Source organism: Homo sapiens, chromosome 9 (genome assembly GCF_000001405.40).
Source record: "Homo sapiens chromosome 9, GRCh38.p14 Primary Assembly".
Lineage (NCBI taxonomy): Eukaryota > Metazoa > Chordata > Mammalia > Primates > Hominidae > Homo > Homo sapiens.
The window spans coordinates 77,944,796-77,970,798 of NC_000009.12; the positions used below are offsets into that span (position 1 = coordinate 77,944,796).

At 38.8% G+C, this 26,003-nt stretch overlaps 1 protein-coding gene across 3 annotated transcripts in view, besides 1 other annotated feature; it reads right to left on the reverse strand.

Annotated features, from left to right (window-relative positions):
* GNAQ (G protein subunit alpha q) overlaps window positions 1-26,003 on the reverse strand; it is a 315,715-nt gene that overhangs the window by 228,699 nt on the left and 61,013 nt on the right. The window contains exon 1 of one of the 3 annotated variants that reach the window (XM_047423240.1): window positions 1-26,003. This exon is cut by the window's right edge and continues 13,250 nt beyond it. The exons of the other annotated variants lie outside the window; for them this stretch is intronic. The gene's annotated coding sequence lies outside the window, so the exon portion shown is untranslated. 3 annotated transcript variants of the gene reach the window in all.
* Window positions 11,671-12,209: an enhancer, noted in NCBI's record as "OCT4-NANOG hESC enhancer chr9:80571382-80571920 (GRCh37/hg19 assembly coordinates)". NCBI's record gives its function as "activates a minimal SCP1, AML or CMV promoter by ChIP-STARR-seq in primed H9 embryonic stem cells {active_cell/tissue: H9 hESC(primed)}" and the evidence as "EXISTENCE:reporter gene assay evidence [ECO:0000049][PMID:30033119]".

Consider the following 26,003-nt stretch of genomic DNA (forward strand, 5'->3'; position numbering starts at 1 on the left):
CTGTTTGTGATTGGAGTGACAAGAAGATCTGAATAATTCAGGTATTCAGAGTCTAAATACTTTACGAAACAGCTAGTTCTGGAAGGATATAAATCCAAAGAGAGCAAAGGAAACAAGGGAGAGCCACTCTGCTCATGTGGGCTGTCCCATCCAAGAACACCAGGGGTCTCAACCCACCGCAGAGAATTCAGCAAGGCGGCTGGGGAAGCACAAAGGTCTGTCAGCTTTCCAGTTCCTTCTGAGTCTGTCTTCACAGTGCAACTTCCTTATTTGTTTGAAGTATTGTAAATTCCGAGAATATCAGGCACACCCATACTCAAATGTAAGTAGAAAAACACATCGCAAAGCCAAATACAAATTGGTTCTTGGGCTATTAACTGGGGATCATCCATCAGATAAGGCTGATTTTCTTCTTTTAAGTGTTTAATGTGGCACCTTCACAAAAGAGGTAAATCTATTTGCCAGCTTTGAAAATGTAGCACTTGAAACAGATATGAAGTAGCTATAAAGTTGCTTTACTCAAAAAGTAAGAAAATAAGTAGTTTAAAAAAAAAGAGAGAGAGAGATTTCTTAAATTCCACACTGCTTTGTTACCACTAAACTAAATGTACTGCCTCAGGTTGTGTCTGTCTGGGTTATGATTACATGCAAAACCTAGGTCAAAACGGCCCTCCATTATTTTATGCATGTGGCTTTTCAATAAAGTGTTTATTAGGAAAACAGAAAAAGCCTTCTTATTTTGGAAAATGCCTTAAAATGCTTAATTACCTAGGTTAGAGGTAAGCTACATACTCACGGATGAAAAATATATCCTCTTAGGGAAAAAAACCCGGTTGCCCTAATTATACATGGATGATCTAATTAAACTGTCATTCACAATTCATTAAAGCTATTAATAAATCATAAATGGGCAAAAGGGATAATATAGTTAAATTTATAGGAGCATTAAGACCTATTAAAGGCAGCCAAGTACTAGTGGTGAAGTTCCCTAAGAACATGAACTTTACACCTCATCCAAGGGACCCTTAGAGGCCGCATCTAAAGGCTCTAGACTGCCTCCTCGTTTATAAATGAGGAAACTGAGGTCTACTGAAGTTATGCGAATCACCCAAGTTTACATCCTCTAACTTTCCCACTACTTATAAGGTTGCCACACTTCCTGAATTGCAGGCATTTCTTCAGTCCTAAACAGAAAATGCTAGCATGCCTTGCTACTTTAAGTGGAGGACGAGAGCTTGATAATCATTCCTGGAATAGTTCACAGAACAAAATATTAGATGGGAAGTTAACTGACGCAGAGGAGAGAGGACCAAATGGTGAAGTGGTAACATCACTATCTACAGAACAACCACCATGCTGCTAGTGGATACTGCAAGAAGAGAGAAGCAACAGGAACTAAAGAAAAACAGAAACATTTTGTGAAGTCTGATGTGTCCAGAAAAAGGGTTCCTAGGAATTTCTTGGTGAGTAAAATATCCTTATTAGTAATCTACCTGTTGACAAAAGAAATTTTTGCTTAAACTAAGAGAATCACACTGCCAACCAAAACAGCAGAGTAACCACTATGTCAATAAAGGATTGAGAATAAGCAGAACATTTTCCAGCTCTATAAATACTATGTTTTCTTCCTCTTAAGATTCCACATTTCCAAAAACCCCAAAAACACCCAGGCAAAGGAAACTCCATCAAAAGCACATTACGTCTTAGCACTAGTCAGTCAGTGCCTGCACCCCACAAACCAACGTGCAAAACCTGGGCGTATGACCCAGCAGTCGTGCTCCACCACTGACTGCTGGAAAAACCAGTCTCTTCAAATAGGCAATGCAGAATAAGACAAAAATAAAATAAAATAAAATGAAACCTTCTCTGTATTGTTGTTAACTGCAGTCTTTATTTTACACAATAACAGTGTATTTCTGATGCCTTAAAGCAGTTGCTATACGGATCAACAGTAACACATGGGTTAAAGCCCAGGGTATCAGATTCAGGTACTACCACTAGCTAGGTAGCTTTGAGCAAGTTGAGGGACCTGTCACTTTCTTCATCTGCAAAATGAGGATAATGATGCCTAGCTCACAGGGTTTGTTTGCAAAAAATACAGGTAGAGCCCTTAGCAATACAGGTAGAGCCTGACTGCCACAAAATAAATTCTGTAACTTAATATTATGGCAAATAAAGCCATTCACAATAAAGCCTCATTTGCCCTCTCCGGGCTACGCCCAACTTCTCCCGAGTAACAAGCTATGTTCTTTCAGACCTTCAGGCTTTTTACTTCCCTTTCCCCAAATATCCTTCTCTGCTGGGCAAAACCTCCCCCATTCTTGTCCTTTAAGTTGGCCAACTCCCCAGAGGCCAGCTGGCTGCTCCTTCTATGTCTATTATGTGATTACATTTGGATTATAATTACTTATGTAACAAGAAAGACATTTATTTACTGGAATGAGGGGGAAGGGTGAGGACCAGTCTATCCAGGCTATTTCCACAAGGAGGCAAGCAGTGAGCCCTGGGCTGGACTGTACTTCCCAGGGGCACAGGCTGTGGGGAGGGCCCCAACTTAAAACGAAGAGAGGACAAGTTTTCAAAACACCACAAGCATGACTCTGCCCTATGCCAGTGCCATCCCATGTTATCTCTAAATTTACTAAACTTCACAAAAGCCATGTGTGACTGGTTGTGTATGCATGTGTGGGTACAAGAAACAGAAGTGTGTGACACGAGGCTATCTGGGAAGGAATCTGAAATGTCTAAAGCACTCAACTGGTGTTCAATCTGTTTCACCAAAATGTTACAAGGGCAGCTATTACCCATACATGCCCCTTTATTTCCCCCACAACAATGAAATTCCCATGGCTGGAGAGACAGTAAGTAGGCAGAATGGTTTAGAACAGTGCTTCTGAAGCTTGACTGTGCATTCGAATGTCCTGGGAACATTATTAAAACACACATTCTGATTCTGCAGTTCTGGGGTGGAGCATGAGATTCTGCATGTCTAACCAGGGGCCAGATGATGCCAAGACTTCAGCGCCATGGAAGCAGCCTGGTCTCAGAGCACAGGTGTCAGAGCCATAAGGCCTCTGTTCACAGCCCAGCTACTTAACAGCTGTGGGACCTAGAGCAACTTACTTAAAATCTCTGGGCCTCTTTTTCCACCATCCATAAAAAGAAGAAAATAGGAGCACCTACTTCATAGGGTGGTTCTTGAGGATTAAATGAATGAACATGTGTGAAGGTAGCTAGAAGAATACGTGGCACAAGAAAGTGTTAGACAGGTGTTAACTATTGTTATTAATATTTATTTCTGAATATCTCCTATACCTATCATACAAAGGAACAATTCAAAACGGCATAAATGTTTTTGAATAAAATAATGTTATTTGTGAATTAACATGTTTATAAGATAGTATAAACAATTAACAAAATAGTGCCTATATTAAATCCTCAGAGGGCCTAAATGTAGTAAAAGATAGGTAATATTTAAAACTATAGTCATTTTAAACTGATGAAGAATTGCATCCAAATCTTGCTCCTCGCAGGAACCTCACTGGACTGCAGGCTCACTATCCCAACACAGGACACAAACTGCTAGCACTCATCAGCCAGAGATGGCCTTTTACCCTTTTCCAGCAAAGAAAGGGAGACTGAGGCCTGACACGGGACTACTCAGAAAGCGGGGGACCTAGCGGTAGGGATGGAAGAGGACACGGATGAAGGAGGACACAGAGGGGGGGCAGATGACTGTGGGGTCCAGCCAGGAGGGCAGCCTAGGCCTGTGCATGCAAGAATTAACACAGCGTCCTAAGAAGTGGGCAGAGCACAGCAGAAAGAACGACCGCTACTGTTGACTGAACATCCATTATTCGTTAGGCCCAAATCATGCCATTCATCCTATAAATAACCCTGTGAGGTAAATTTTATTTTCCTGATTCTGCAGCCTGGGAAGCCTCCCTAGCATTGTTTAGGAGATTTATTATCCTTTTTAAATGAATATTCCTACAGCCACTGAACCTGGACCCTAAGGACATGAACAGACAAACACCTGACCAAGAACCAACAGCTCCGTGTGAAGCATCTGCCCCTAGATACTTTCCATTTGGGAGTCACATTGGAACTTGGTGTCGGTTCCTCTGCCCACAATGTCTTGATACAGACAGCCCACTTCTCCCACAAGACTGTAACTCCTTTCAGGTGCCCCAGGGTCTCCCCAAGAGGATCTCACACATGCCTCGAGGCCTGTGTTCAATCAATTCCCTTGCATTTACTGAAGCAGCCACCTTCTTAGGATAACAGACAGAAAATTCATATTATTAAAATACAAAATGAGGACACTGACACTGAGAGGTTAAATACCTGGCCTGAACCCAAAGAAATACTAAGCGGCAAAACTGGTATGTGAACCCAGGACACCACCAGGCTGTAGAGCAACAGCCACACACCATGAGGCTAGAAGCAAAGATAGCTCAGCCCTGGTGCAGAGGCAAGTTCAAGGATGGAACTTCAGTCCTTAGGGGCAGAAATGAATGTGGTGGCAACACAAGGCTCAGAGGCCACTGGGGAGTGAGACAGATTGTCACAGCAGTATTCCACAATGGGAACCAAAGCAGAATTCAAATTCTGAATCTCTTGGGAGAAACAGGGGCTTTGGAATACTCCTGGGGCTGAGAGAGGGCTCCCAGCAAATATGAACTTGGTTAGCATGGACCCCAACATGAGTGAGCAGTAGTGCCGGCCACACAAGTCCCAAAGCCCTTGGTTGGAGTTAATGAGGGAACAGCAGCAGCTGGGGCAGAGCCACAACCAGTATCTCAGCCCTAGACCTGACAGCTCTGGAAAATTGGCATAGGTGAGCTAGAGGAAGGGAAAGACCTATTGCTCTGTCTGCAGGAAAAGATGTGGGGCTAACACCAGGTCTACCAGAGCTGGGAGCTTCATTTTATTTTTAAAGGGAAATATTAGAGATTCACATGCACATTCTCCTTGTGGGCAGGAAACTTTTCCATATTTCCCGTATCTTTATTCATATTCTAACTCAATGAAAGCTCCACCTTGGTTCAGAATCCTATTCTCCAATTCCCCCTTGAATTTCCTGCAATCTGGTTTTTGTCTTGAATCCTTGGAAGAAGCTATCCTCAAAAAAGATTCCCGATCCATGCAGCCAAGTCTTGCTCCATCTGGTGTAAAACAACCCTCACATAATCCCCCCTCCTCCAGCTCCATTCCCTCTTCCTGTACTTTATTTCTCACAGATGAACCTTCCTATTTACCCTGACTCTTCTCTTATCAAAAAACTTATCATATCTGGGTTAAACTACATACTATAATGTTCTTACCGGGTTCCCTTCCTGAAACTTTGCTTCTCTGGAGGCAATTAGAAATGATTCCATTAAGCTCATATTCATGTGCTGGTCAGCTCTAAACTCATCATGAAATTCTCAATTCCTTACAAAGGGAATCTCCCATTTGGGGGAAGTAACTCATTTTCTAGCTGCAGTATGTTATTAAGCTTGCTCACTTCTTAGTGCTGATTCTTCCCTGATTTGCTTCTGTGCCTCCACGCTACATGGCTGTCACTACCTGATGCAGGAAAACAGGTTACAACACATTTTTGTCCCATCCTTGAACACACACACCAGCAGCCGTTTGCTCCCACAAGCCTTCCCCATTCAGAATACAGCTACCTTCCCATGCTCGTTTCTGCAACCTATTGCCCATCTACTAAAGTTCCAATATCTGCTTTCTCATGTATGAAAAACAAAAACATCTGTACTGATAAACAAGCAAATGTTTACAGGTAGTTATCTCTAGGGAGGAAATGGGGAAGGAGAAGGAAGCTTCACTTCTCATTTCATTTATTTCTGTGCCATCTGAAATTTTAATGAGCACGCACAGCATTTGTTTTTCACTAAACACTTTTTATGAAAGAAACCAGTTAGTATTAAAAACACAGGTACAAGGATAATCACTACAATGTTCTCATGGCTGGGGGAATAAAACAGGGTAGAAAATAATAGGTAGAAAGCAGAAACACATAAATCAATCAATCAATAGGGCCCTGATGTAATAAATAAGAGACATCTATAAAACATAATACTGCGGAGCTGCTAAAAATACTATATTGTCATTGAAAACATCTATATTTAAAAAGGTTATAAAATAACTTTTTAATTTAAAAAAAGCTACATTCTTTAGATAAGATTAAAAACACTATGAGGCCAAGATGTATATCCTGTATCTTCACCCCAGTATACTTTGTTTAGGGCACATTTATAAAATATGAATACTGAACGCAGTCAAGTGTTCTTTTTTTTTTTTTTTTTTTTTTTGAGGCAGAATCTCACTCTGTCACCTAGGCTGGAGTGCAGTGGCATAATCTCAGCTCACTGCAACCTCCACCTCCTGGGTTCAAGCGATTCTCCTGCCTCAGCCTCCCTAGTAGCTGGAATTACAGGCTCACGCCACCATGCCCGGCTAATTTTTCTATTTTTAGTAGAGACGGGGTTTCTCCATGTTGGCCAGGCTGGTCTTGAACTCCTGGCCTCAAGTGATCTGCCCGCCTTGGCCTCCCAAAGTGCTGGGATTACAGGTGTGAGCCACTTCATCCAGCCCATTCACTTATTTTAATAAATCAGTTATTGCTAAAGATATGTTTGGACTCATCTTTCACAAATGCCACAGGTATTTGTGAAAATCAGTCAAGCTTTATAGTTTATTTACTTATTTGGTTTGTTTTTACAAGACAAATTAGTCAACTTTATAGTTTATTTACTTAGCTGTGTACCTAAAAATGTAATCATATAAATGGTCAACCTCTTTTTGTAAAGTCTGATTTGTTCTCAGTCCATGGTTGGAATAGGTCCCTCAACCTGAACACCACAGAAGGGGTTACTTTAAGGAGGAGAGGCTGCATAGATGAGCTCCAAGGCCTTTCTACCACCCAACCTTACGATTCTCTCTGTTCCATTTGTGGGAAGGTGGTGAAGGGGGTCATCTCGATGAGTTATCAGATCCAAGAGATGTGAATGATCTCAAAGCTCACATTTCAAATTTTCCTAAATAAGCTTGTTCAATATTCACTCTGTCCCTAGGATCAGTGCATGTGACGCAAAGCAGGTCCACAGACCTAGGACATGGAACACAGCATCCATTCCCATGAATCTCAGGCCTTCAATTACAGGGAATGTCTGCTCCTTACCCTCATTCCGTCTAGCTTCAGCCGAAAGGCATTCTGATGACCAGCAGGATAATCATGAGTGGGCAAAAAGACAAAACTCATATTCAATTCCCTGTTCTTAAAAAACATTTCCTGGGAAGCCTGAAATTGAGGTTTGGGTAGTATCTGTATTTTCTATTTCTCTAACCCACTTAACAAAGTGAGAAAATATGCCCAAAGGTGGGTTGATTTGAAGCAGGAAATATACTCAGTTTTTATATTTAAAATAACATTGTTGCTGTTGTTGTTGTTCTAAAGTTACACTGGAGTGGAATATGACCCAACAGTTCTACAAAACAGAGAAGAAATCTTTTTAATTTTACCTTCAAAATTTTTCCTTGCGTATGTTGAATCCATAATATTAAAACAGTACAAAGAATACTTGTTTTATAAGAAGTTGTCACTTCTATCTTCCAACTTTTAGTCATTCTATAACAAAAATATTGATGACACAAATAATAAAAAAGTAAATAAGTATGTTAGCAGTATCCAACTGTGCTGTTATTCCAAACTTTATTCTTAAGTTTATTACATTTTGTTTTCAAATGATTGCCTTAGAACAGTTAAGAAATGAAGAAAAATTAAGAATTGCAGAAAAAAGTTAAGTTTTAGCTTTCATCAAGTTACTCCTTATTTATTAAATTTCAATGCAAAATAGCCATTAGGCATTTATCTAGCATCTTCCAAATTCAGTTTACCATGCTAAATCAGAAAGTGTCAGTTGACTACTAAACCCAACATCTGTTTCACTCCTTGTATTGCTTAATTATTCATTGGTAAATGTCTAAGAAGCCCATTAATAAATAATAAAACAAAATATCAGGTTTCATGCTAGTGACTCATACCAAGACAAGAATGAAACTGGGAAAACATGAAAAACACTTCCAAAAAAGAAAGCAGGGAAATATTAAGTATGTTTTTGAGAATCCTATAAACATCAGCAATTGTTGTTGTTAATTCACTACACAGAGGTTTGAATAAACACAGAAAACTTGTTTTCAAGCTACATTATTGATAAAATAATACACTCCAATAAAGTATCATGTTGTGTTCAGTTCCAAGTACAGCAGCTCTGTGAAGCCTACTAGCTGGAAATCGTTGCTAACAATTTGGACGTGGAGAAACAGAGGTCCCAAGAGGTTAGGTAAGGCCAAGTGCTCCTAAGCTGCTGCTGCTGGTCTGGGAGTTACACCCAGCCTATCTGAAAGGTGCCCTCAGCATAGCCCATCCCAGGAAATGTAGGACCAGGTCTATTTACACAAGTTCTTGAGATGATCTGAAAGTGCATTTAAGTGCAAGAACCCCTAATTAGTTCATGTCTCTCAACAAAATCATCTCTGGGTGTTTATGTTATTTTCATGTTTATGATACAAAGAAAATGATTTGTATGCTTTGAAAATCATTCAGTGTCTTTAAGACAGTATCCAAAAGTTGGTGTAAACTGGATTACAAAATTACATGGAGGAGAGGTGTGTTTTCCCCTTGGACCTTTCCCAGAACAAAATCTAATGAAGGCAAGCCTTGCAGTATACACATATGAAGGGGATGAGCCGGAATTAGAAATGGCTTCAAGGGCCCGGCGAAGGTCTCCCAAAAGGCACTACCAGGCAGTGAATCCCTGCACACCCAAACCTAGTGGCAGGCCTTCTTTCTTAACACAAAAACAAAATATGAACAGATACTTCATCTGTGACTGCTGTGTTAAGTAATCCTCTTATGGTATTTAATCTGCCAGTGTTTGAACAGATCATAAATGTTGTGGCTATCAAAACTAAGGAAGTAAATCAAATACAGCTGCTGGCAATGAGAACCAAGTAACAGTTACAAAGAACTCTGCACAGGTGACTGACCCAGCCTTCTGCCTGCTGCCAGCACAGACAATTTGGCCCCTAAAATTTATCATCCCCAACACTGTTATCTTCCTTCATTGACCAAATATTTAATTATCTATTCCTATCAAATTAAAAAATCAAGTCACAAATATTTTGTATCCCACTTTACCAAGTGGCATAAAAACATATTTTCTTCCAGAAAAAGGTTTAAGATGTCTTTGAAACTCTAACATGAAAACTGTTTCATTTCCTTATCATCTGTTTATCATGTGATCCTGAAAAGTCCAATTTCACCCTTTGCACACATTTGATACTGGGAAGTAAGTAATGCCATCACGTACACAGCATTCAGCTGAGTTTCACTGCAAGAGGCACTGTAACTAGATGACTATGCGGTCTGGAATATTTTGGACTATTTTTCCTTCCTAATTTGTTCAGCTCAACCATGTGCCAAATGGTGTTAGAGAATTCCTGTTAAGGAGAAGTCATCTTCCTTTCACATAGTAAGTGTCAAAGCAAAAGAAGGTGTGCTAATACGATGTCAACCTAGGCACAGCACCACCATAGTACGGCTTAAGGAAGAGAAGAACTGAGAGCACTACAATTTTTAGATTTGTGTTTCAGAAGCATCTTGATGCTTGATAAAACAGGAGAACGATACAAAGAGTCACGCTGTTGGGCACACCCACTGTGTCACCTCCTCCATGCCTCATAATTTCCTGGCCAGTTTAACATCAAATCCTAATTAATTCAGATCAGCACTCAACAAAGCATGCTATATTTCAAAGAATGTTAGAGTTTAATGACACAAAATTGAGATTCCAGAGCTGCAAAAGGTCTTCAAGATCCTCTACCTGAATTCCTCATTTATTAAAGACATAAGCTAAGGCACAGGGCTATTAAGAGATCAGACTACACCCACAGAGCTGGCTAATGGCCTGGCAAAAGGGTCTCCTGAATCTTGCAACGGCGCTATTAAGCTGACAAAACGTCACCAGTCATTCCTGTGTTAACCACCAACACAATAACAAAAACCTTCTGAGGAAGGCAATAGTAGTCACCAGAGAAAATTCCATATTAGCACTCTGGGTAACATGTTCAATTTTCATTAAATTTGTTCTTGACCACCGCATGATTTCTGTTAAACCAGGCCTCTCCTGCATAACCACCGAATAGTAACTGGCCAGATCATAAGCCTGAAGTAGTTTAAGATACACGTATGACACAGTTTACACTGGCAAAGCTAAGAATGTTCGAACTCCACAGCAGTTGCTCCAAGATAAGTGGGAGTGGGGAGGCTTTCAAGAATCTTTTTCTTGTTTTTTTGAGATGGAGTCTCACTCTGTTGCCCAGGCTGGAGTGCGGTGGCACGATCTTGGCTCACTGCAACCTCTGCCGCCCAGGTTCAAGCAATTCTTCCGCCTCAGCCTCCTGAGTAGCTGGGATTACAGGTGCCTGCCACTGCGCCCAGCTAATTTTTGTATTTTTAAGAGAGACGGGATTTCACCATCTTGGCCAGGCTGGTTTTGAACTCCTGACCTTGTGATCCACCTGCCTCGGCCTCCCAAAGTGCTGGGATTACAGGCGTGAGCCACTGCGCCGAGCCAAGAATGTTTACTCCTTAGTGAAATCATGAAAGAAAATAGGAAAGTTATATAACTGCATTTAAGCACTTTTTGTACATAACGCTATACTTTGTGTCTACTCCTATGCGAAACAAATCTATTAATGCAAAATTTGGTAAACCAAGAATTTTGCTCAGTAATTCTCAAAAAGCTCAATTCATTAAAATTTGACTAGTATAAATATGAAAAGATCAAAATAGGTATTTAATTTGCCTACTTGAAATCACTTAGTAGATTAATTTTATGAATTAATCTAAACTCTTTTGATAGCTATTATAAACCTTTAGCTTTACAGGAACATTAACTCTAAACCTTTAGATTTACAGGACTTCAAGTGCTCTCTAGTATAACTCTGACTAAATATTCAGCAGACTTTCTGCATTAGGTTTGTCCAAAATCATTATCACATAAAGCTGTCTGACACACTGATGACAGGAATCACTTATTTCAAGACCAAGAGGTGATGTTTCTCTTCCGATGGCAATTCCTGCCACGGCAATTTCTTGGCTATCTTAGTGGGTCTATGAATAGGGCACATATATTATAAATAAAACCCTACATGTGAAACATTTTTGATTTATTAAGTTTTTTAAAAGAAATATTGTCTTTTTTGTTATGAAATAGTAATAGCAATAATATGTGTACTGAGCACTTTCTATTTACCAGGACTTATTCTAAAGTGTTTTATATATGTTCATTAGTGTAACCCTCCCTAGAACCTTATAAAGTTAGGTAATACTACTATTTTACATAGAAATCCAGTATCATTTCATCTTACACTAATTAGACCCCAAAATTGAAGCCGAAATGTATAGGCCCTAAAGAGAGGGAATTTGAAGGGAACTACTAGAAAAACAATTCTTGATTACTTGTACAAATTTAAGATTCCTAGCTATCTTGTTATGACCCTGTTGTGATCCTGTTATTCACTACAAATGCCCAGCTTCCTTTTTCATGTCCTTGGAATGCAGGAAGAGCTAGGAAAATGGCTTCCAAATCCAGAAGACTAATATTACCCTTTTAGTATAGGATCCCTCACTTTCAAAGCCATATATCCTATGGGAAGGAACATGAATCCTGGGGCACTGCAACCCTCTTGGATTAGCACTGCCTCAGTCATCGAGTCTCTTCTCAGCATTCCAAATTCTAATATATAGCCTCTCTTCAATGGTGAGTACAGAGCCCCAGGAAGGGGGAGGAGGGAAAATAACTGCTCCCAACTCAGCTAAAGGAAGAGAACTTGAGTAAACTAACTGTAGGGGCATGGAGGTGGAGGGGACCATTTCCTCTGCATATGCAATATGTACTCAACATTGAATGAGAGCCCTTCCTGTGCACTGCGGGGCTCCAGGGACACACTGTCTCTTTACTTAAAGACAGCAGGTGAGAGAGTTCTATAACACCTCAATGATACAAAAAGCCAAATTCAAGGAAGCATCATTTATTTGGGGTTTGAAATAGTAATGTGTCTAGGTGATCCTGATGGACAAGCAAAGGGACCATGTAAGAATATTCTGAAGCAGTACTTAGGATAACTAATAAAGTAGCCTCGTTTAAGAGTACAGCCCGGAACAGAATGATAGAAATAAATGCTGGCAATGTAAAAACTTAATAATAGGCTGGGTGTGGTGGCTCACGCCTGTCATCCTAGCACTTGGGGAGGCCGAGGCAGGCGGTCACGAGGTCAGAAATTCGAGACCAGTCTGGCCAACATAGTGAAACCCCTTCTCTACTAAAAATAAAAAAATTAGCCAGGTGTGGTGGTGTGTGCCTGTAATCCCAGCTACTCAGGAGGCTGAGACAGGAGAATTGCACGAACACGGGAGGTGGAAGTTGCAGTGAGCTGAGATTCCGCCATTGCACTCCAGCCCAGGCGACAGTGCAAGACTCAGTCTCAAAAAAAAACAAAAAAACAAAAACAAAAACAAAACAAACAAAAAAACCCTTAATAATAATATCCACATCAGTTACAGCTCTTGCTTGCCCCTATCCCTGGAGGCATTCATTACGTAACTTTGCACTACACACAGGAAGGCGCAGAATCACCTTTGCATGGAAAGCAACTGATGAGAAGTGAATGCTCCAACAGCAGGAGAAAAGCAAGGGGAATTTGCTTGTTTTTTCCAACTAGGTCAGATTCACAGAGGCAATGGGATTTCATGAGTAATTTGAGTGAAAGAAAGGTCAGATATATCTGCAAGCTGAAGGAGGAGGCTACAGGCAAAAGCGAGTCCATCTTATTTAACATCACAGGATGAAGGCCACTAGCATCATAGGATGAAGGAGAAACAGGCCATTCTGCACCTGCTGGAGGGAGGGAACTGTGGAAGTGCAGAGGCAAGTCTAGTCAGAAAGGGAGAGGGCAGGATATGTTTAGGCACGTGCTTGTCGCTACTAATCATTTCTGCTGGCCACGTGGCTTATGTGGTATGTCTATCTCCTGGCAACTTACATAGTGTGGCAACTTAAAGAAGAGACACATTTTAAACGGCAGGCATTTTTCTTACAAGATCAAATACTATATTATTCATCTATGGTCACCTTTACAAAGGTTTCTTAAAATACAAATTTTGCCTTTATAAAGGCAATGTGGACAAATTACTTAACATTTCTGAGCATTAGTTTCCTCATCTACAGGAATAGTAGAGTAGCTATTAACTGATAAATCTGTTGGGAGGGTTAAAACACAAATACTGTGTTCAGTTTGGTGTCTGGAATGGCGTAAATTATCAGTTAATGCTGGCTTTGCTTTCTATTTTTCATTATTTCTCAAAATCCCTTCAAGGACTGGAACTTAAAACTCTACATATAGATGTACTTTTTCCATGATCAGTTATGGGCTGTGTCTCCATTGTATCCTATTGGCAACACGAACAGAATAAAGATTAGTTTTAACAACTGACCAGAAAAGAAAAAAAAAAGGAAGTAGAAAAGTACATCTACAGCTGCCAGCCATGAAATGTGCTGCTAAAATAACAATAAATGACTTTCATATTCTGCAATATTGTGAATTACTCTGTCCTATTCACTAATGGGAAAATTTAGGACTTCCTTTGAAAGTTAGAAAATTGACAGAATGTAAGAATTGTTATACATAAAACTGACAAATATTTTTCAAGAAACCAGTTTAGGTTAAATTATTTGCTAAGGTTAGTGATATATTATTTTAACTGGGCCATCATTTCTTTGCCAAGATATCTGTCACTGAGGTCCTCTATGGTCAGCCACAATTTAATGCCATTAACAAACAGGCAGGTGAAGCAAATCCATGAAGCCATGGGTGCAGTACAGGGTAACAGGGAGCAGTACCGACTGTGGCCAATCAAATGCAATGGGGGTTGGGGAGTACCACCAGCTATGCAAAACAAAATACATTTGCAGACTGATTTCAACCCCAAAACTAGCAGTTTGCAACCCTTGGCAAACTCCTCAATTCTTTCATGATTTTCCCCTTTTCCCAACTCAGAGGTACCCCAAACTGTTATTAGTATAATACTTAGTACTAAGACAATTCATTGAAAAGGAGATAAAGAAAGAAATGAGCATTTTATTGTGCATATAAGCCTCAATATCACTGTTCTTCAAAGGTGTGGTCCATTTGAAAGGTGTGGTATATAAACATCTCCATTAGAATCACGCAAGGAGAGGGCCCCAGAGTTCAATATTTAGTAAGCTTCCAGGTGATTCTTCACGCATTAAAGAGAACCCATTTCTCCCTAAAATAATTAATTTACCTTGTAAAGTTTTTCTGTTCTACTCACATTGTCCTGTCATTCCAAAGTCTCTTGCTTCATTTACATATCCCAACTTTCAGTCTATGATAAAATATTTTCTTTTCTTCTGGTGTATTTTAATCCAAAGAATCATTAGTTTGCAATCATCTGTTTTCATATATAACTTTTATTTTTATATGTTTTAGTTCATCCTTCATACTTACAGATAATGTGAAATTTATTAGTAAATGTGTGATATTCTAAATATCCATAAAATACAAATAAATCTTTAAATAAAAACAGACTGCCATTGCAAGTCAGGATTTTATAGAAATAATTCTGTAGATAAATTTTCTAAACTATCATTTGCAAATTTCAATCTGCATGAAAGTATGTTTTTTGGGAAATAACAAGTCCGTTTTGAATATTTTTATCAAAACATTATAGCACAGTATATTTTGTTCACTCACTGTTTTATTCCTTCAATTATTTTTATCTCTATAATTGCTAAAAATCATTGAGTTTTTCTCTTCCTACCTTGCACAATATTTAATATTTTACCAATACTCAAAGTATAAAAAAAATCAGAAGAGTCTCCTTTCCAAACGACTGCTACAAATCTATATGCCAATCAGTTTTTCTACAGCAGAATTTTGGAAACTAAGGATGTCAAGATTCAGGCCCCCCAAAAAGGTGGCACCATGGTTCTAGGAATCCTCCATGTTCCACCCATGCGTCAGCCCCTTGGATTGTAAAACCTAAATTGTGGAAGCTAATTTGGACCTGCTATATCACCTCTATCCTCTGAAAGAAGGATGACAGTGGATGATAAATGGATTCCTTGCCTCTTCACTCAACACCATTTCTTTTTTTTTTATTCATATAATTCTCTTTAACCAAGAGAATGGGTATAGCTTTAGTTTTGTTATTAAGGGTAAGGGAACTTTAATTCTACTTGCTTTAATTCTATGCTCACTGGAATCATCCTGCTCATCTTTCTTTTATTGTGTTTTATTTTTGTATTGCATTTTTTCTGCTCTCTTTATTTCCTTCTCTTCCAGCCACCTCAGAAAGTAAGAAATTGACAAAAGGACTGATATTGTTTGGTCATCACACCAGAATGGGTCAGGAGGCAGAGGGAGTGAGGAGAAGGCATGGGTCAGGTCCTTTACTGTAGTTTTTTCAGAAAGAAACAGGCAAAGCGAGGTAGGCAGAATTAGAATTGGCTAATTTGAATATTTTCAGTGGACTGTGGTATGTAGGGATTGCCCTTAGTTGCCCTGTTACCCCTGGCCCTGGAGTGATATTACAGAAGAGAGATCCCGGCTCAATCTCTGAGAGCTAAAGGAGGTGGTTGGTGGCTGTGTGCTCTGGACTGATTGGTTTGCACAGGAAAGGCATGCCGCAGGGAGTCACTTGTTAACTCTAGGAATTAGCTAGCCCAGAGAGGGCGGAGTCTTTAGGATTAGCAAAGCCCCAAATGCTGGATCATCAATAATACAGAAAATAAGAAAATATAGTCAATACAAAATATCATTTACAAAAGATGGGAAAAACTAGCTAAATTAAAACCACAAAGAATCTAAAGTATCACTTTAACCTAAAAAAAATGATCTATTCACTACACTAGAATAAACAGAAAAATAAGAAACTTAAGAGTTTACATCCTTTCCTGTATTTTTCATGGCTATCTTTAAAATGAAATACTAACGAGCACAGGAGGCCTGGAAATCATTTTGTACAAGCAACCATTTCATAAATGATATATGAGATCATTCCCTGTATGACATATCTTTAATACATTTCATTATTTGAAACACATAGTTTGGATTCCAACAAACAGAACAGTTCAAATTCTAGCCATTTACTCTTTCCTTTAAAAGTAATGTCTGGTAACACTTTTATATTTAAAATTAAAATAACAAAAGTAGATGCTTTTAGAACCTAATGGATATTACCAGACTTTGAATTTATACTCATTCACTTATAAAATGGGGGGAAAAGCCCAGGAAGTCAAATAAAATATACAATTGTTTTAACACACGACAACAAGGAGCACAGGGATACAAATAAGGTAAATCCTAGGACTGCCTCCACATAACCACACGGCTTCAGTTTCCACACAACAACATGGCAAGGAGGATCCCAAAAAGAACCCAGTGCTCTCACTGGGTTGAAAAACAGAGATCAGAATCGAGAAAGGCTTAGAATCCTAGAATGTGCATGACAGAATGCTGGAAAGGAAAGAGCTGAACAGAGAGAAAGCTCTTGAGATGTGCAGAAGGGTGCCCTTGAACCTGAAGCTCAATAATAATGATCTACACGTGAGTGGGGTGAGAAAGAAACATGGGAACACATAGTCTGAACAATTCCCAAGGTTCACACAGGTTCACTGCACCACAAAGAAGGAATCAGTGAGTTTTCATAAGGGTATCAACGTAATAGTGAAGTTTAAGTAACTATGAAAGAGAGGCTGCTCTAAACTTACCCTAACAAAGCCTAAAAGCAAGACTACAAATTACTGAAGTGATCCCAAGTAAATCAGCTGCATGACAGAACAAAGTCCACCACTTTTCAAAGGAATCCAAAATATCCAGCAATCAACAATGTAAGATTCACAATGTCTGGCATCTTACCCAAAACTATCAGGCAAATAAAGAAACAGGAAAAGGTGACCCATAACTCCAAGAAAGCTCAATAAATTTAGACCCAGAAGACAAGGATGTTTTTTAAAAAGCAGTACTAGTTAGGTTCCACCACCTCAAGAATGTAGAGGAAAACATAAACATGAAGAAAAGAGAAAGGAATGTATTTTTAAAGTCCCAAATGAACTTCTGGCAATTAAAAATACAGTATCTAAAATGAAAAATACAACAGATAGAAATAAGAGCAGATGAGACTGAAAAGAAAACATATGTGAACCTGATGACACAAAAATAGAAATTATCAAAAATGAAGCACAAAGGGAAAAAAAGACAGAAAAAAACGAGCAGTCTCAGTGTGGAACAAAATCGAGTTATCTAATATACTTGGAATTTGAGTACTAGAAGAAGAGAGAAAGGTGGGAATATAAAAGGAAAAATATTTGAAGAAACAGCATCTGAAAATCTTCCAAATTAAATGAAAACTATAACACTATTGATCTAAGACCCTCAACAAACATCAAGCAGTAGAAACATAAAGAAAACTACATGAGGCAGTTCATAATCATCCTGCTGAAAACCAGTAACAGAGAGAAAATCCTAAAAGCAGCCAGAGAGAGAAAGACACTTTACATGTAAAGACACAACTATTTACTGCTTACAAAAAACACTTTCAATATGAAGATAAAAATGGTTTAAAAATAAAAGAAGGGGAAAAGATACACCATGCTAACACTAATTAGAAGAAAACTATGGTGGATATATACAAGAGGTCTTCAAAAAGTGCATGGAAGGCCAGGCACAGAGACTCACACCTGTAATCCCAGAACTTTGGGAGGCCGAGGCGGGCGGATCACTTGAGGTCAGGAGTGTGAAGCCAGCCTGGCCAACATGGTGAAACCCCGTGTCTAATAAAAAATACAAAAAGTTAGCCGGGTATGGTGGCAGGCACCTGTAATCCCAGCTACTCGGGAGGCTGAGGCAAGAGAATTGCTTGAACCCGGGAGGCAGAGGTTGCAGTGAGCCAAGATCACGCCATTGCACTCCAGCCTGGGCAACAATAGTGAAACTTAGTCTCAAAAAAAAAAAAAAAAAAAAAAACAGTGCATGGAAAATGTGTATTATGAAAAAACTATGCATGGATTTCAAAAATGTTTGTACCAAAATACAGACTTGTTATAACATATCTGAACAGGATCTAGTTTGAGGCACTAAGAATAAGAAGATACTGGTTTGAAAAACGCCACTATCAGAACAACACGAATTCTGCTAAAATTGAAGTAAGAACAAATGCCAAATTTATAGTGAAACTCACGTGGAAGAACGGTGAAATCACTTTGAGGACAATGCCCCAAAGAAATCAGCAGTTTATAAGTGGATAGCTCATTTTAAGAACGGATGAAATGATGCTGAAGATAAGGCCCACAACAGCAGACCATCCACATCAATTTGTGAGGAAAAAATTAATCTTGCCCTAATTGAAAAGCACTGACAATTAACAGTAGAAACAGTCGACACCACAGAAATCTCAATTGGTTCAACTTACATAATTCTGACTGAAAAATTAAAGTTTAGCAAACTTTTCACTCAGTGGGTGCCCAGGTCAGCTACAGTCAAGAGTGGAGCTTTCCGTGGAAATTTTAAACAACTAGGATCAAGAGCCTGAAGCATTTCTTTGAAGAACTATAACAAGAAATGAAACATGGCCTTACCAGTACGATCCTGAAAAAAAAGCACAATCAAAGCAATGGCTACGAAGAGGTGGAAGTCAAAGCAAATGCAGCAGAAGGGTCAAGAGCAAAGGTCATGACAAAAGGTTTTGGGGACACTGAAGGCATTTTGCTCACTGACTTTCTGAAGGGCCAAAGAACACCAACACCTGCTTATTATGAGAGTGGTTTGAGAAAGTTAGTCAAAACTTTAACAGAAAAATGCCTGGGAAAGCTTCACCACAACAATGTTCCTACTCGTTCCCTCTCATCAAAAAAAGGACAATTCTGTGAGAATTTTTACAGAAAATTATTAGGCATCCACCTTATGGTCCTAATTTGGCTTCTTCTGACTTATTTTTGTTTTCTAATCTTAAAAAAAAATTTAAAAGGCACCCATTTTTCTACAGTTAATAATGTAAAAAAGACTGCCTTGACATGGTTAAATCATCAGGACCCTCAATTCTTTAGGAATGGACTACATGGCTAGTATCATTGCTTACAAAAGTGTCTCGAACGTGATGGGGCTTATGTTGGGAAATGAAGTTAATACTTTTTATCTTTTAATCAATTTTTCCACAAAATTTCTGAAGTCATCTCATATTAATAACAGACACAGATTTTAATGCAAATAATATTATCAGAAATAAAAACAATCATTTCATAATGATAAACCGGTTAACTTATCGAAAGGACATAACAATCCTAAATGTTTATGTATCCAATAACAAAGCTTCAAAATATGAGAAGCAAACAATGATGGAACTGCAGAGAGAAACGGACAAGTCTACGATTATACTCAGAGATTTTAATACCCCTTTCTCAATACTTAATAGATCAAGTAGAGAGAAAAGCAATAAACCAAGTAGAGAGAAATACATCAAAGATAATAGAGGACTTTAACAACCCTGTTAACCACTTAACCAAACTGACATAGGCTGCTTTCCCAACAACAACGAAAAACATTATTTTCAAGTGCACCTGAAGCATTTATCAAGATAAACTATATTCTGGGCTATAAAACCAGTCTCAATAAATTTTAGAAGAGTCATATAAAATATGGTCTCAGACTACAATGGAATTAGAGATCAGTAACAGAAAGATACCTAGAAAAATCTCCAAATATCTGCAAACTAAAAATAAAACAAAAACAACAAGAAAAACCACTTCTAAGTAACACATAAGAAAAAAATCAAATAGATATTAGAAAGTATTAGAAACTAAGTAATAATGAAAACAACATATTAAGTGTGAAATACCACTGACTTGTACTTAGAGGTAAATAGGTAGTACCAGACACCTGTATTTAAAAATACAGAACTCATTTTTATAACTAATAATCTTAAGATAAAATACCCATTACAAATACTCAACTTCTCTAATATACTGGGCTTTTACTCAATTACAATTCACTGTACAACCCTTCACTCAAGCCTATCCACAAGCCAAAACCTGGTATCACTTCTATTAGACCTAATGTGACTAGAAAAGTCTATACCAAAAACAATTTCACAAACCCAGATCACAGCCTCCATTACTGTAACTACTCAAAAAGGCCTAATTAAATTTTATTTCCTCTTTTTTTATTCCACCCTTTTTTACTTTACTCTGAATTATCTAACCTGTTACCCTGAGTAATTTCAATCACAACATAAACACCAACAATGTTCAACCAGCAACTACCACCAATCAACACCCATAATTATATAAAGCACCCACACCCACAGAATCCTCACGAATCAACCCTGTCCCCTCACCCTCAAAAACCATTCAACTTCCCATACAATTAAAATTAACTACGACCACCAGCCCATCATACTCAGCTATCCATCAAATTAACACCAAAACTGAATTTCATCAAAATTAAAAACTGCTTGTCAAAAGACACTGAAAGAATAAAAAGACAAACCACAGACAAGGAGAAAATACTTGCAAAGCATACATACAGACTTGTATCCAGAAAATATTAATACACAAAAAAAATAAGAAATCAAGTAATCCAAAGGAAAAAAAATCAGTAAAAGGTTTCACACTTTATCGAAAAAGTTATACAGATGGCAAAGCACATGAGAAACTACTCAACAACATTAGTCATTAGGCAAATTAAAACCACAATTAGATACTTCACACCCATTTAAAATGGCAACATTTTTTTAAAAGACTGACTATACCAAGTGCTAGCAAGGATATGGAACTCTCATACACTGCACAATATTAAAAATCACTTTGGAAAACAGCTTGGCAGTTTCTTAAAAAGTAAAACATACCCCTGGTAATGTGTTCCAGCCATTCCAGTCCTTGGATTTACTCCGAGCAAAAAAAAAAAAAAAAGGCACGTATCTATCAATAACCTATGCATGAATGTTCACAGCAGCTTTATTTGTCGTAGCCAAACACTGGAAACAATCCAAGTCTCCATCAGTAGATGAATGGATAAAGAAAATGTAGTACATCCATACAACAAAATATGTCTCAGCAAAAAGGAGCGAACTATTGACACACAACAACATAAATGAATCTAAAAATGACTGAGTGGAAAAAGGCAAGCAAAAGTGGACATACTGTATGTTCCCTCAGGTGTAAAACGTAACTAAATACAAGTAAGTCTGCAGTGACAGGAATCAGATCAGTGTTTGGAGGGGGAGATAGGTGGGAGGGAGGATAAAAAAGAGGCACAGGCAACCTTCAGGTTTGATGAATATATTTGTTATCTTCATGGTGGTGATGATTTCATAGACACATGTAAGTGACAAAACATCAAATTCTACATATTAAATATGTGCAGCTTACTGAGTATCAATTACATCGCAAAAAAACTGTTATTACAAAATGTTATTACAACAAACTATAAGAGACAATGTAAATTCTATTTTACTAGGATCGTATTACCTACAAGCAAAATTTTTGCTATGTACGTTTTTCTTTATAATAGGATTTTACTAAGTTGAAAACCACACTTTAAACTTTTTTAAGGTAATTATGCTTCCCCAAAGGAACAAAATTCATTTTTCTTAGACCTGGCTTTCTACAGCAATGCCTCACTACAGCAGAGACACAAAATCTTATTACTAGCCAAAACTTCACCCAGGGGAAAGTAAATAGGGCATTAATAAACACTAAAACAAAGTTTATTCATCATAAAGTCAGGAAATTCAATGCTAAGATACTCATGAGGGGAAAGAGGTAATGAATTTGTGGAAAAATAATAATATTCACTCTGTGACTACCAAATCGCTTCTTGAAATGAAATACTAATCCTTGGCACAGGAGATGGACTGTGGACCTCTCCATTCTTCAACAAACTATGCTCTTGCTCAGTTCTGGAAGAGCTCTCTCAGCAAGCCAAAGGCCTTTTCCTCTGGGCTGCCCACCAGGTCCACTGCCTCTGCCACGGTCAACATCAATTCCTGCCCCAGGTCTTTCATTGCCCTAGGTTCGGGCAGTCCGTCAGCGGCCGCTTTGAACCCCTCTTCACAGTCTTTCTCAGAAACTCATTTCATCACTCTCCCCATGGGCTTTTGTTTTTCAGTTCTTTTTAGAATTCCTTCTGCTTTTCAAAACTTGGGACTTTTTATCTTCACGGGAAATCTAACGTGTAGGTGAACTATCTTCTTTAACCCTGAATGCATCTCAGGAAAAGGGTATCATGCCACTATTGCAGAATGGGAAGCTGCCCTGTCCCAGGTACATGTATACCCCTGTTGGGCTGACAACAGCTCTCACATGGAGGAAAAGATTCAGTTCCCTCGGTCAGATCCAACTGTGGCCACTCCGTGCTTTTAACATTATAAAATCACCTGCACAACTATTAGGCTTCCACCACCTGCTGTGCCTAGAATCAGCCCCTCTTCATCAATATTTAGGTTCTGCTCTTGTTGGTAGATTTCGGGTCCAGCTTTCTCTGTGCTCAAAGTGCCCTCTTCTTGTGCTCAGTTTCCCCTCCTTAGCCACTCGAAGACCAACAAAAGGAATTCAAGTACTGACACATACTACAACATGGATAACCCTTAAAAATATCATGGTGACTCAAGGAAGCCAGCCACAAAATGCCACATATGATTCCATTTATTTGAAAAGTCCAAAATAGGCAAATCTATAGGCATATTAGGTAGATTAGTGGTTATCAGAGGTGGGGGAAGGAAGAATGGGGAGTGACTGTTAAAATGTTCAGGTCTGCTGGGCGCGGTGGCTCTCTCCTGTAATCCCAGCACTTTGGGAGGCTGAGGCGGATGGATCACCTGAGGTCAGCAGTTCGAAACCAGCCTGGTCAACATGGTGAAACCTCATGTCTACTAAAAATACAAAATGAGCCGGGCATGGTGGCACATGCCTTGTAATCCCTGCTACTTGGGAGGCTGAGGCAGGAGAATCGCTTGAACTTGGGAGGCGGAGGTTGCAGTGAACCGAGATCATACCATTGCACTCCAGCCTGGGCAACAAGAATGAAACTCCATCTAAAAAAAATAATAATAAACAACAACAAAAAAACATGTTTAGGTTTCCCTTTGGGATGATAGGAATATTCTGCAATTAGATGGTGGTAATGGTTGCACAACTCTGCGAGTATACTATCCACTGAATTGTATACATTATAATCACTTTATAATTCAGTGATAAGTATACTTAAAAAAACCACTGAGTATACTTAAAATGGTGAATTTTATATTATGTAAATTATATGTCAAATTTTTTTTTAAAGATAAAGAACTGAAACGGTAGAAAGGCAGAAACAAAAATACCATGGATGTTGTCTGCTTAGAATAAAATATTTCAGGACCACTTCAGATGAAATTAAATCCCTACAGGCTAAATGAATCAATAAATTCAAAAGGTGAATTATATTCCTTTTTTCATTAGAGGAATCAAAAACTAAAGATTTCCTTTAAGTGTTTTCCAATTCTTATACAAATGATAATAGATGTATCAGGATGCCTAAGTGTTTATTTACCATACAGTTTCCTTCCTCTTGAACTACAAAGTTTATCTGGAACAACCTAATGCAATAGCAAAGCAAAAAAGTAATTTAAATTAGGCTATTAGACAAGGCAGTGACATTCTATGTATTGAATGTATTTCCCAGACACTATCTCAAATGCTTTCCATTTCCCAATCCACAACACTGCTCTGTTCTAATAGATCTGGCCATCAGATGTAAATGGCCTTCAATTACATTTCATTCCAAATTAATTTTCGTAAGTGTACCAAACCAAAGGCAAGACAGTGCCGTTTGCCAAAACAGAGACACAATTATGCCGGGGCTCTTAAAGAGGAACTCAGAGAGAATACCAGAGCCAGAATTCACTGGCTAAGTAACCCCTAAGTATGGGGATTTTATGGGAAATCACCTCCTGTGGCAAGGTGATTCTGCTCCCAGAGAGTCTGGGGGAAGTGATGCCACCAGCAAATGCACCCAGGTGAGGGCACCTTAATGGACAGTGCTCTTCTGCCTAGTGAGGTGTGATGGCGGAGCCAAGAGCTTACTCCAGATAAAAATATTTTCAACCAATCATGGTAGGACTTCACTTTCTCCCTGAAGAAATTAAAGCATATTTACTCTTTGAGGTTTGCCGTTGGTCTGCATGCACCCCCAGGTCTGTTATTGCTAATCCAGGGAGATACAGTAACTCCTTCATAATGCAGCCAAGCAGCCCATTCAGTCTTATTCAACACCCCAATTCTCCCTCTGGCCTTTCCACCTGGCAGGTGGTAAATACAACTGTGGTTTTCTTAATGATTTCACACTCCTGTGATTCCCTGTAATTTTCTAACACACCCGAATTACCATCCAGCGCCCTAAAGCATCAATTTAAGAATTTTTGCTGGACTGAAAGTTAATGCAATCATCAAAGTTTCCAATTTAAACTCAGGAATTAGCTTTACTGCCCAAGATCTTGCCTCCCTATACAATTAGCCTGATGCGACAGCCAATTTAACATTTCCTGACATGGAAGAATACAATTAAGGCCAACTTAGAAACAAAAAGTCATAAAATGTAGATGATGGAAGAGAGGTTACATTATATATAATACAGATTATACTAATGTATGTTTTATATAAGTACATACTATGAATTTTACTAATACACTAACAGTTTTAAATATCGCACAGCAAAATCTTCAGTAGTTTGAAGAGCACTGGAAAACAACCCAGCTTACTTTCTAGCCACATCAACAGTTCAACACTATGGATTTTCCAGGAAATTGGGGGCAGCTCTTTCTTTAAATATGTGAAGGCATCAAATTCATATATCCATCAGGCATGTAATGCATGCCTACTAAATGTAAGGCAAAAGGAGCAAAGTGTTGTCTTAATTTCAGGCATGCATTCCGTAGACACAGAGACCAGTACCCATTTCTCTAACTCACCACCAAATTCTTCATGAGCAACTTCATGAGCCAAAGATCTGAACCTTGTTACGAAAGTGATGGCTTATGCCTGTAATCCCAGCACTCTGGGAGGCAGAGGCGGGCAGATCACCTGAGGTCAGGAGTTTGATACCAGCCTCGTCAACATGGTGAAACGCTGTCTCTACCAAAAACACAAAAATTAGCCAGGTGCAGTGGTGCACGCCTGTAATCCCAGCTACTTGGGAGGCTGAGACAGAAGAATCGCTTGAACCCGGGAGATGGAGGTTGCAGTGAGCCCAGATTTATGCCACTCCACTCCAGCCTAGGCAACAGAGCAAGACTCCATCTCCACAAAAAAAAAAAAACAAACAAACAAACAAAAAAAACTGACTGAGTCACAAACTCCTCCTCTCTACTCTGCCCCGTGCTCCTGCTCAGTTCCACATTGCAAACCTGCATCACATCTGCCCTGGACACAAGTTTTCTTCCCAACTTGATTCAGTGTTATCAAAAAGTTACCAACGGCCCAACTGCACACACACATCAGGAAGAGAGGCACCTATGGCTTTTCAAAGGCAGTATGGTGGGCTATAATCAAAATCTGGGGTTGAAGGCAGGGGCAGTCCTCTTCCCATTCTGCCTATTCATCCTTAAAACATTAACTTTAAAAACATAGACTAAGATTTGAAGGGAGAAATAAAGATGTTCTTTGAAACCAATGAGAACAAAGACACAGCGTACCAGAATCTCTGGGACACATTTAATGCAGTGTGTAGAGGGAAATTTATAGCACTAAATGCCCACAAGAGAAAGCAGGAAAGATCTAAAATCAACACCGTAACATCACAATTAAAAGAACCATAGACTCAAGAGAAAACAAATTCAAAAGCTAGCAGAAGACAAGAAATAATTAAGATCAGAGCAGAAC